The sequence below is a fragment of the Homo sapiens genome, chromosome 17 (genome assembly GCF_000001405.40).
Source record: "Homo sapiens chromosome 17, GRCh38.p14 Primary Assembly".
Taxonomy (NCBI): Eukaryota; Metazoa; Chordata; class Mammalia; order Primates; family Hominidae; genus Homo; species Homo sapiens.
The window spans coordinates 46,150,516-46,163,295 of NC_000017.11; the positions used below are offsets into that span (position 1 = coordinate 46,150,516).

A 12,780-nucleotide genomic window follows, 5' to 3' on the forward strand; every position below is an offset into this window, starting at 1 on the left:
CAATCAAGAGATAAAAAAACAGGTATTATTGTTTCAAAGAAAATATTCCTACAACTAAATTCCTTTACATAACATAGCACTGTTAATAAGACCAAGACACACTTATTCTGTATTAAAATGTTACCTAAAAACTAATGACACTGGCTCAACAAATTAAGCCTTCAAAAATTAGTCTCCATCTTATTACCCAGAGGGCAGCATGGCAAAGTGGGAAAAGGAAAAAAGGACAAGATTGACATCCTGATTCTGCCATTGTTGTTAAATTTCTGCTTCCTTATCTTGTGAAACAGATGTTACCACTGCCTACCTGGGAAAACTAGGAATAACGACTACAGTAAATTATTATGCATTATGGCTTTTATAAACAGAAATTTAAGAACAGCTAAGTTAACTGCAAGATCCCTATTCTGTCAAAAAAAAAAAAAAAAAACACGAGTATCTTGTGTTCAGCATTATGAATATAAAGAATAAAGACATGAGCAGTCTCATAACATAGACAAGTTCAGTCTACTGTAGATCCTTTCACAGAGAAGTAATACAACATACTGAGTGCTAACCTTCCAGCTATTTCTAAAAAGATGGAAGTCCAAGGTTATTTCTAAATTATTTTAAGCATAAAGCTAAATATTTAAGAATGAGTTATAACTGAGTTTCTACCAAATTAAAACAACGATGCTTACAACAGCTTACAGGGCTCCTGATCTCACCTTCTACCACTCATTCTATACCTGGATCAGCATGCATGCTCCTGCCACCCCGGGCTTACTGATGAAAATCCAACAAACCGGGCTCAGTCCCATCTTAGGGCCTTTGCAAGTGTTCTCTACACCTTGAATGCTCTTCCTCAAGATCTTCACAGGTCTTGCTCACACACTTCATACAGATCTCATTCAAACTGTCACCTCCTCAGAGAGGCTTTCCCTGACCACCCTATTAATATAGACATCTCTCTCCCATAACCATCACTTTCAATCTCCTTAGGCTCTTTCCTTTTTATATCTCTTTATAGCACTTGTTAACTAGCCTTCGGTCATTATTTACTTATCTGTCTTCCCTAGTAGGATAAAACTCCCTGAAAACTGTAATATCTTATTGGCTGCTGTACTCCTTGTAACTAAAATCATGCCTGGAACACACTGAGTACTTGATACATATTAATTTTTAAATTGATGAATAACATTTGTGAGTGACGAGGAATATTCATCATTGCAACTTACATAATTTCTTAAACCAGCTGCTTACAATTAAATCTAGCATGTTGAGGCTACTCCTAGAACAGGGGTTCTTAATTTGGGGCTTTAGGGAATCATTAATACCCATGTTTCTGGAAGGAAAATCTACAGCTTTTCTTTAAATGGTCCCTAATCTGAAAAACATCCTAGACCAGTGATTTATGACTCTGGCTACATCATGGAATCTCCTGGTGAATTTTAAACATACAGATGCTTGGATCCCATCCCAGAGGGTGTATTTTTTCTCATCTGTGGTACAACCACAGGACTTCTAAAAAATTACCCAGGTGATTCTAGTGTATAGCAAAAGTTGAGAACCATGCAATTTGAACACAACAAATGTTAACTGGGTGAGAGTCCTCAAAGGTACTTACAGTGGGAAGAAAACAAAAATTGAAAACTATGAATTTTGAGGGAATTGGCATTGCTGGCAAACAGATCAATACACAAGTTCCTGAATAATTCTGTATCATAAAAACATTTTAAACAAAAACTAGTAGCTCTACCTCCACTTAAATACTAACCTGACATTGAGATTCTAGAGCTTACTCCCAGAACACAAATAACACCTTTCACTTAAAACAACGTATTTCAGACAAACATTCACTTCTTAATAACTTACTTATAAAAACCTAAAACTATCAAGAAAACAACAGAATACTTTTTGAAGACGAATCAGCTATATTACAACTATGAAGCTCTTTGTAGTTTTATTCCTAAAAATGCCTTTGAAGCAACACATTTCCACCAATTAATGTCCTCATTTAGCCTCAACTGTTACACAGGATGACAGGCCCTGAATTTAGGTGAAACTAATACTGACAATAGACACAAAGGGGGGGGGGGGATTTCAGAGATTTATTTAGATCATGTCAAAAGGGTTTGAAAAGAGCAGGTGTCAGACTGACACAGGTGGTAAATTGTTTTCTTTTTGAAGTCAAACAAGCAAACATTGAGTAATAAGCGAATTCACTGATACCAACCGAGGGTTTCATAAGTTACTGGTTTTTATACCTTCATCCAAGTAGCCCTTTTAAAAAAGGGATTAGCAAGATAGAGAGCAAAACAACAAAATGTTAAGTATTTGTAAAATAAATAAATCCAGATGCTTAAATCCACAGTGATAAATAATTTTAAATTATTCCTGGATACTTAGAATCACGATGAAACTCATTCCATCTATCCCTTTCTTTCTTTATTCTTGGCTGTATGGAGATACCTGCTGACACAGAAGCACCAGGTCATGAGCACATCTGACATAAAACATTACAAACTTAAAGCAGTATTTTTTAAAATCTAAAGGGCTTAGGGAAGACAGCCATGCTCCTAGCTATGAAGCCTCTGTGGCTTGACTTCCTGGTCATATCACAAGGATTTTTTTTTAAAGTATTATTCAGTTCCCTTGTTGAGTAAGTTAATTTACTAGGAAAGTGCAAACAAAGACATACATGCAGGTACGCAGCTCATCAACGCATTTTAGTTGTGGGGAAAGATCAGGCTTAGGAGACACGAATAATTATAAAACTATTAGAGCTGGAAGAGCCCTCTTTAAATTTCCCTTCTAGAAAGATGGGCACAAGGAAATCCTTAGCTTTCTATGTCGTTTTACTCGGTAAAATAGTACACTCTTATTAGTAACTTTATCTTTTATCAAAAGCCTGTGGAAATAAATGTTCTGGGATTAACTAGTAAATATATAAATAAAGCCACAGAAACATATTCCCAAAATGTGGGCTGGAAATGAAAACAGAACAGCATGGGATACAAAACCCCACTGGCTGTTTACAAAATGTTTCGTGTACATGACTTTTATGTAATAGGAACAGAACACTAGTATAGGAAATGAAGACTACATGGAAGGGCTGGCTACTTGGAGGTGACGGAGTTAAAGATTTCATGAACCATCAAAAGACCAGGTCATTTATACACTAGATTATCAAACCAGAAAAAGTCTGAGTCCCCTCATTCCATTACATTTGAAGAAATGAGAAGCACCAAAAAAATAAAGTATCAATACAAAGAAGAGAGAGAAACTAAGACAATCTGACCCTGAAGGAATCGCAATGTGGAGGGAAAACCCAGCCCTAGGAGTTAATTGTCTAAGTCAGGTAAGAAAAGAGTGAAAAAGTTGAACAGCACAACAGACTATTTCATGAACACCAGATGCCTCGATATGTAAGGGCTTTAAATAAAGAGAAAACACTCTCCTCATGAGCTGCTGCTTCAGTGCCTAGTTCTTCACTCAACTATACCCCCCTCTAAATCAGATGCAGCATTTTGAAATCGACCTCACTCCCTTAACCACACTTAATTTTTGGAGTAGAGGTTAATGAACACACCAGGATAAAACGATGTCTAGTTTGGCAGGAGTGGGAGTACAAAAGTAAGGGGAAAAAGACAAGAAAGAACAAAGCACTGGTTCGCACACCTCTCTCCACCCCAGTTAAGCTGTGGAAAGCTGACTGGCATATCCACATGCTTAAATTATACGTTACTGGCAATGAGGGAAGTGGGGAAATGCTAACATTCTGATTTGTCCCTTGACAAATGAGGGAGGATATTCCCCCCTCAGGGTTGCACTTTAAGAATTTCTACTTGCAATGCTCACTGCAGCCTCGACCTCCCAGGCTCAAGTGATCCTCCCATCTCAGCTTCCCGAGTAGCTGGGACTACAGGTGTGAACCACAACATCTAGCTCATTTCTTGTGGTTTATTGTACAGATGGGCGTCACCACGTTGCCCAGGCTGGTCTCGAACTCCTTGAGCTCAAGTGATCCCCCTGCCTCAGCATCCCAAAGCACTGGGATTACAGGCCTAAGCCACCGTGCCCGGGCTCTCACCACAATTATAAAAAGAGAGAGAATGAAGGGAAGGGTAGAATTTCCTCTTTAAAAGTGGTCTGACTCACCAAACCATCTTCACTGCAAAGCCTTAAACAGTACCAGAATACAGGAAAAGGATATTGTATGCTTTTCTTAGAGCTGGGACAAAGAAATGAGAGGGTGTGGTGGGGGGAAGGAGTAAACAATCAGAGCATAAGTAACCCATATTATACATGGTTTATATGATGCCATCTCCAGGTTTAATCTTTCCCTTTTATTATTTTATGATTATTTTAATGGAGATGGGGTCTTGCTATGTTGACCACACTGGCCTCAAAGTCCTGGCCTCCTAAAGTACTGGGATTACAAGGTATAAGCCACCACGAGCAGCCTAATCTCTCAATTTTAGTTTCCTTACCATAAAACAGACACAATGCTTACTATACAATTAAAATATGCTATAAAATAGTAAGTGAAATAACTATACTAAAAGGCATTCCTGGCATTCAGAAAAGTTGATGGTAGCATCCTTTCCCCCTCAAAGATAGGTACAGGAGGCCCTAATCCAATAGTTCTCAGCCAGGGATTTTTTTTTTTTTTTTTTTTTTTTTGAGATGGAGTCTTGCTCTATTGCCCAGGCTGTAGTGTTGCCATCTCGGCTCACAGCAACCTCCACCTCCCGGGTTCAAGCGATTCTCCTGCCTCAACTTCCCAAGTAGCTGGGACTACAGGCGTGTGCGACCATGCCCAGCTAATTTTTCTATTTTTAGTAGAGACAGGATTTCGCCATGTTGGCCAGGCTGGTCTCGAACTCCCGGCCTCAAATGATTCGCCCACCTCGGCCTCCCAAAGTGCTGAGATTACAGGTGTGAACCGCTGCTCCCAGCCTTGGGGATTATTTTGACCTTACCCCAACCCCCAAAAGGGCACATATAATAAAGTCTGGAAAAATTTTGTTGTCTCAACTAGGGTGAGGGAAGGTCCTACTGGCATTTAGGGGGTAGAGGCCAGAGACGCCATCAGGCATTCTTACAGTGCACAGAATAGCTTCCCATGACAAATAATTATTAGTCCCAAAAGGTTAATGGTGCCTCTGTTAAGAAAACCTGCCTAAAAAACATTCATTTTTGGAAAAACCACATAAACACAGAAGAGGAGCATAACACTCTAGTTCCTACAGTCTATTAAAAAAAAAAACTATTTAAAAGATATTACAGGCTAAGTGCAGTGGCTCACACCTATAATACCAACACTTTGGGAGGCTGACACAGGAGGATTACTTAAGCCCAGGAGTCTTCGGCTGTAGTAAGCTATGATCACGCCACTGCACCCCAACCTGGGTGATAGAGTGAAACCCTATCTCTCAAAAGAAAACATACTCTAAGAACAATCCTTTCTTGTGATAGCTATTACTCAAATGACAAAAGCTGGGGGAAATACCTTGTAAATATCAGAAAAAAACTTCTCCTCCTAAGTAGTTTAAAAATATGCAGATAGGCGGGCACAGTGGCTCACACTTGTAATCCCAACACTTTTGGGAGGCCAAGGTGGGCGGATCACCTGAGGTCAAAAGTTCAAGACCAGCCTGACCAACATGGTGAAACCCCATCTCTACTAGAAATACAAAATTAGCCGGGCATGGTAGTTCATGCCTGTAATCCCAGCCACTTGGAAGGCTGAGGCAAGAGAATCCCTTGAACCCAGGAGGCAGAGGTTGCAGTGAGCCGAGATGGCACCACTGTACTCCAGCCTGGGCGACAGACCGAGATTCTGTCTCAAAAAAACATTAACAAAGAATACTCCAGATCATCCAGAAAGTCAGTATCTGATAGTGTTTATATGGAGAACTCCTGCACTGGAATGTAAACTCCTAACCCTAGATCCATCTCTTCTCAGGTCTTCCTATCACCTCAGCCTACAGCAGTCAATCCTTCCCTCTAACCACTCCCTCCTCCTAAGATTTCAGCATTTAATGCCTGTACCATGTATCTAATACTTAGTACACAATGCCTAATTCTTGTTTTTTAATTTTTATTTAAAATACTAAAACGAAACAGAGACGGGGTCTCGCTATGATGCCTATTCTGGTCTAGAACTCCCGGGCTCAAGGGATCCTCCCAAGGAACTCGGCCCACAATGTCTAATTCTAATGCTTCCTCTTTTACTTGAAAGTGGAGGGGAAGGCTGGGAGCAGTGGCTCACACCTGAAATCCCAGCTACTCAGGAGGCTGAGGCAGGAGAATCGCTTGAACCAGGGAGGTGGAGGTTGCACTGAGCTGAGATCACACCACTGTACGCCAGCCTGGGTGACAGAGTGAGACTCTATCTCCAAAAAAAAAAAAAAAAATCAGTCACATAAATTACTCATTGAAGACAGGAACCAAGTTTTCAATTCTTCTTAAGTGTTTTCATCATTCCTGATCTAACCACCAGAGAAGTGTTTCCTTGCCCTTTGGTGGCAAGGTTAATCTTGGTGATAAATGATCCTGAAAGGCTAGTCTCCAAATAATTAGAACCTTGAAAATGTTTATATTTTTCTCTGCTCGGAAAATTCTGGAACCCCTTTTCTAGGACTGCCACAAGGACACTTCTGACTATCCTCAATGATGACACATTTTAGTTTCCATTCAGATTACCAATTATGGTAACTCCCCTGATCACTGTTTAAGTACTACTTATTAAAGGAACAAACATTAAGCTATTGCTCTTGGAAGGCCAGCCTGCTAGGAAACACCCAAGAGCAATTCTGTACCTTATCCTTCCCTAAATTAGTCAGCCAATCTTACCATTCAAGGATGAAATTAAAGGCATTTATCTCATCTAGTAATACCATCAGTAAACCATGGAAGCTTAAATAATCTAACATTGCTTTGGACATTATGGAAATGACAACCTCAGCACCTAATAAAATGTAAAACCAAATATATACATATCATGTCAATGTCTTGAATGTACAATTACCTTGAAAATTTCAAAGTCACCTCACATTTCTCAACTCTTGGACCTGAGACCTGCTTACTATCAAGTTATCATTGAGAACAAATTAAGAATTCTCAATTGAGAGGTCACCTGTTGCACTAAGCAAACCGCCTGCAAATACTAAATTAGCTTTTCTACTTACACTATCAAGTCAAATTACTTCTGGTAATGCTTGAGTGTATTTGCATGAGATCAATTTCATATACAGTTGGGCAGAAGCAAAATGAGTCTTAAGCAAGCTTCATTCTGTTTTCATCTTACAAAGAAAAGACTGGCCTGTCCTCCCAGCCTTTTGAATAAGGATCTTGAAAAATTCACTACGCACAGGGTGTGCCCAAAGAATACTTGCTGGAAAAATATGCTGGGAGAGTGCCAATTTAAAAAGAAAAACATTTTCGCCCAGTTGGAAATCTAGAGAAAGAATAGTTGTAGCAATTCAGCTAAAAACTCTCAAGACCTGAAGAAAATTTTAGAAAAACCCCAGATCTTTTTGTTATTGGAGTAAAATTCTATGAAAGGCAACTAAATGAATCAATGAAGTATTCAACTATGCTAATTTTATGCACCTAAAAAGCAGTAACTGAAATTCTGCCTTTGACATTTGACGGTGCAAAAAGCACTAAGTACCTTATTTGTTCTACATAAATGAACTTTATAATCTGCAATAGTTTTTAAATCAACTGTTTCTGGGAAATAATGAAAGCATTTTATTTTCCTTTTTAAAAAAGCAAGAATAACAAAACTTCTTTATTGTTTTGCTTTTTGGGAGGAGGGGTTGGGGGAATTGGGATAAATTTTTGTTTTCCATTAGAGACTTTTTTTTTTTTTTTTGAGACAGTCTCGCTCAGTCGCCCAGCTGGAGTGCGGTGGCACGATCGATCTCGGCTCACTGCAACATCTGCCTCCCAGGTTCAAGTGATTCTTGCACCTCAGCCTTCCAAGTAGCTGGGATTACGGGCATGTGTCACCATGCCCAGCCAATTTTTGTATTTTTTGTTTTGTTTGTTTTTGAGACTGAGTCTCGCTCTATCGCCCAGGCTGGAGTGCAGTGGAGCAATCTCAGCTCACTGTAACCTCCACCACCTGGGTTCAAGTGATTCTCCTGCCTCAGCGTCCCGAGTAGCTGGGATTACAGGTGCCCGCCACCACACCCGGTTCATTTTTGTATTTTTAGTAGAGACGAGGTTTCACCATGTTGGCAAGGCTGGTCTCAAACTCCTGACCTCAAGCGATCTGCCTGCCTTGGCCTCACAAAGTGCTGGGATTACAGGCATAAGCCACCACACCCGGCCAAGAGACTTATTTCTGAAGCATAACACTCCAGCAATAGCTTGATTAAGCTAAAAAGATACCCATCTGTTACAGGCCTTTGTCTTCAGTCTCTCACTACAACACCCACCCCTTTCCAGGTCCACTCAGAACCTTACGCTCAGATTTTTTTTTCACTGCAATAAGTGAACACAACAAAAAATTACAGTTACTACAGGGACACACTGGTCCCAGGTTGCCTCATGAGAAAAGCAGGTGAGTAGGCCTGCTGGAGCTTTGCACTAACTCTATGGACCCTGTGGAAACTGCATGCAATGCAGGCTACATGGAGGGTCACCGGGCTGCTCACTATACCTCAGCAAAGCAAAAGGCCTGCCTATGCCTATGACAACAGCCTTTCCCATCACAGCCTGGTCCCACCACAAAACAACAAGCAATATTCTTCCAAAAAGTACAGTCCTAATTTTAAAAGTGAGGAACTCGAGCCTAGGTAGACAAAATGTAACAATTCTTAACAGTTGTCCAGAATTCTTTCTACTCTCTTACTCCCCTTTTAGTACTAATACCACAAATGCTAAGAAAAATAACCTCTAGTTCATCCTTCAAGTTTTCTGGTACTTGCCAAATCAATAAAAATAACATGTGAAATGTTAATCACAAACCACCTACTCAGACACTGAAATGACACAAATACAGACTAAGTAGATGAAAACCAATCAGGATAGTCCTCAACTATTCTTTCAATATCCTTTCAAGTTCTATGGTAACTAGATTTACCAGCAAGAGTTTTCTTGAGGAAAATACTAAACACAAAGCACATGCTTACAATTCACCTGTAAGCACAAGTTAAGAATAATGGAGAAAGAACATAAAATACCTTCATAACTCAAAAGAGCTCCTTTTCCAGCAACTGGGGAAATAGTTGTTTGGGGCTTTTCCACATAAGATATAAATCATCCCTTTCGAATGTCAAAAATGTTTAATTTAGCCATTTGATGGGGAAAAACCTTTAATAGTTCACTTCTCTAGAGTGTTTATTACAGTAAAGGAAAACTATTTAAACTTCCCACCATCCCTCCTGGTCAATGCTGGTGTCCACCCACGTACTGTGTGGTCAGAGAGCTGTCTAAAGGAGTTACAGCAAACAGCAAAGCTATGTGCCTTCAGGTTGCTCCATTTCTCAAAATAGAATCTTTTTTCTGCCCTCTCTCTATCAGTTCCAGGAGTTATCTTCTATTCAGAAGATAGAACATGTATGACCACAAGCAAATTATTTAACATATCTATAGTCTTGGGTCTCAACTGTAAAACAGGGTATCATCATCATATGGAAGATTTAAAGACAACAAACCTAAACCACCTAACATACAGAAAGGTGTGATCAATAAATACTAATTCCTTTCTTTTCTTCCTTTTTTAAAAAAAATAACTTCAACCACTTCCTAGATGTTAGTCTGCCCTAGCAAAATGTCCCTCCTCTACCCATCCAACTTTTTTTAAGACAAGGTCTCACTCTGCTGCTCACGCTGGAGTGCGGTGGTGCAATCTCGACTCACTGCAACCTCTACCTCCCAGGCTCAAAGCAATCCTCCTACCTCAGCCTCCCGTGTAAGCTGGGACTATAGGCGCATGCCACCACGCCTGGCTACTTTTTTTTGTAGAGAAGGGGTTTCGCCATGTTACCCAGGCTGCTCTAGAACTCCTGGGCTCAAGAGATCTGCCCGCCTTGGCCTCCCCAAGTGCTGGAATTACAGGAGAGAGGCATCACGCCCATATAACCCATCCAACTTCTACTCCACAAAAGAAAATGAGTAATTTTCTTTTACTCATATTGTAGGCTTAAGGATGTATCTGGTTAAGATACATATGGCCATTATACCTTTCCTCAAAAAATACGTATTACCAAATTAATGTATAATAGTCTTCTGAATATAAACATAAATGCCATTATTTTACATGATGGTTGGTAGACCTCTTTTCATCAACCAAATCTAATGAACAATTTGATTCTGTTTACACTAAAAAAGCTAGTGCTTATGCCCAGGAGATAGGTAAAGAGCCTAGATTATTATCTTGATCTCTTATTAGCTGTTTGACATTAAGTTACTTAAACTTTCCATTCTGCAGTTTGAGTCTGTAAAATTAAAATTATCTATCTCATTGTACTGTTGGAGGATTACATAAATTAATTTGTAAAAAGCTCTTTATAACTAAAGAGCTAAAAACAATTCAACAAATGTGGGCTATTATTTCTCTACCAGAATGTCTCAACTCTGTTGTCTGCTTAGGCAAAGTTGGTTAAAAACGTTGTTCCCAGCAGGGCACAGTGGCTCACACCTGTAATCCCAGCACTTTGGGAGGCCGAGGTGGGCTGATCACGAGGTCAGCAGATCGAGACCATCCTGGCTAACATGATGAAACCCCACCTCTACTAAAAAAAAAAAAAAAAAAAAAAAAAAATACAAAAAATTAGCCGGGTGTGGTGGCAGACGCCTGCAGTCCCAGCTACTTGGGAGGCTGAGGCAGGAGAATGGCGTGAACCTGGAAGTTGGAGCTTGCAGTGAGCCCAGGTCATGCCACTGCACTCCAGCCTGGGCGACAGAGCGAGACTCTGTCTCAAAAAAAAAAAAACCTTGTTTCCTAGCTCACCCAAATCAGTTCGGTCAAAATCCTCCTGGGTTCTCAGGTTTAAGACTAATTCAGTCCCAAAGGCCCTAAACTCTGCCACCCTGTTTCTTCCCAGGATACATCTCTTGTAAGTACCTGAGAAACAAACCGGAAATAGCAATTAAAGGGAGAGCAAGGAAATGGCACTACATATACAAGGGTATTCAATTCCCTGGCACATGCCCTCTATTCTTTTAGGCCTAAGTAAAACAACTTATAAGAACATGATTTTAAATGAACTATGACACCTCTCTCTAGTTGCCATTCCCCAATCTCCCCATTTCCCCCGCCCCCAAAACAATTTTCTCTACAATTCCTCTTACCTGAGTTCTGAATATAATCTACATGATTACTACAATGCTACTAAATAGGCTGCTAGAGCAAACCACAACATTCACAATTTAATAGCAAATTTTCAGTATATTCTGCTTGCAGAGCAGACCCTACAACTTTCATCAGGCTTAAAATAATTTCAAAGCAATTTTGTCTACCATGGTACAAGAAACCTTTCTTCACACTTATAGAAATATAAAATCAAACAGGACACAGTTGCCACAAAGCCTTAACTAATGAGAATCAAAACTGGTAAGATTTATTCTTATGTTTACTATATACTAAACCCCCTTGGTTTCAAATCTATATAAACTCAATGTTTTCTTTACATTGGATATGTAAGCATAATTTTCCCAGATGCACAATAGAAAATTGGAGAAAGATAATTCACTGGTAAACATGAAAGGGCATGACCTTAGGCATGAATTTCTACCCAGCTTGCAAAATAATCTAGTCCACTTTGGTCCATGTTTAGGGAGGTGGGGAAATGAATTAAAGTACCATCCATTTATAACAGAATGTGGACCCATGCTTTCCCTTTTCTAGTTAAAACTATTTGTTTTATCACACTGACAGAGCCTAATCGGGGGCTCTACAAAGGACACTCCAGGTATACCCAACAAAGGAAAATATTTAAATAAAAATTAATGAATGCCTACCTCATCTGCTCCTTCTCCATCTTGACATATCCATCCAATGTAGTTACCCCTGCCAAACAAAAATCTGGGAATCACCCATGGCACCTCTTCCCTTTTGCTCACCACATGCAATCAGCCACAAGCCCTCATCACCCCTACTTCCAATAACCAATTCTCTTAAATCTTTCCTGCCAAAGGCTGAGTCCACCATTCAGCTAACTGGTTAGCCTAAATTCACCTCTATTCCCCTTCTCCACACAAGCGGGGTCTGAAAAATACAAATCATGTAAGCCATGTCAATGGCTTCACAATAAAAATTTTAACTTTATATAATCAACAAGGCCATCTGTATGATCTGGCAACTAGCTACCTCTCTGGTCTCATTTCTCACTACTTGTAAAATACACTATACTTTGCTCTGTTCTTTGAGAGTCAAGCACCTTCCATTTCCAGGACCTTAGCATGTCTTGTTTCCTCAATGAGCAGCAAAGCCCCTTCTCACCCACCAATTCCTTCTTATCCTTCAGGTCTCAGCTTACATGTCACTTCCTTCAGAAGACTCACCATCACATCCCCATCACATGCTGCCTAGATATATCCAATATGCACCCTCAGATCACTCTGAACTTTGTTCCTGTAGCACCCACAACAATCATAAATATATCATCTATGTAATTACCCGCTTAAATATTAATCTCTCTCTAATCTATATTCCCCATGAGGGCAAGACAAGGATTGTATCTTTCTTAACCACTGGATCCCTAGCATCCCAGCATGTAGCAGGCATTCAATGTAGAGTTAATGAATGAATTAATCAAATCCAAACTCCTCCAATGAAGG

At 39.9% G+C, this 12,780-nt stretch overlaps 1 protein-coding gene and 1 long non-coding RNA gene across 31 annotated transcripts in view; both read right to left on the bottom strand.

Moving 5' to 3' along the window:
- Positions 1–12,780, bottom strand: part of KANSL1 (KAT8 regulatory NSL complex subunit 1) — a 195,452-nt gene that overhangs the window by 120,600 nt on the left and 62,072 nt on the right. Inside the window, exon 4 of one of the 30 annotated variants that reach the window (XM_047435801.1) lies at positions 11,962–12,010. The exons of the other annotated variants lie outside the window; for them this stretch is intronic. Within the exon in view, the coding sequence (XP_047291757.1) occupies positions 11,962–12,010 (49 nt within the window). The remainder of the gene's footprint in view (positions 1–11,961; positions 12,011–12,780) is intronic. 30 annotated transcript variants of the gene reach the window in all.
- LOC107985027 (uncharacterized) lies at positions 413–11,955 on the bottom strand. Its single transcript, XR_001752923.1, has 2 exons — positions 10,952–11,955; positions 413–2,451 (listed from the first exon to the last, which is right to left on the bottom strand). It is a non-coding gene; the product is annotated as an uncharacterized LOC107985027 (long non-coding RNA).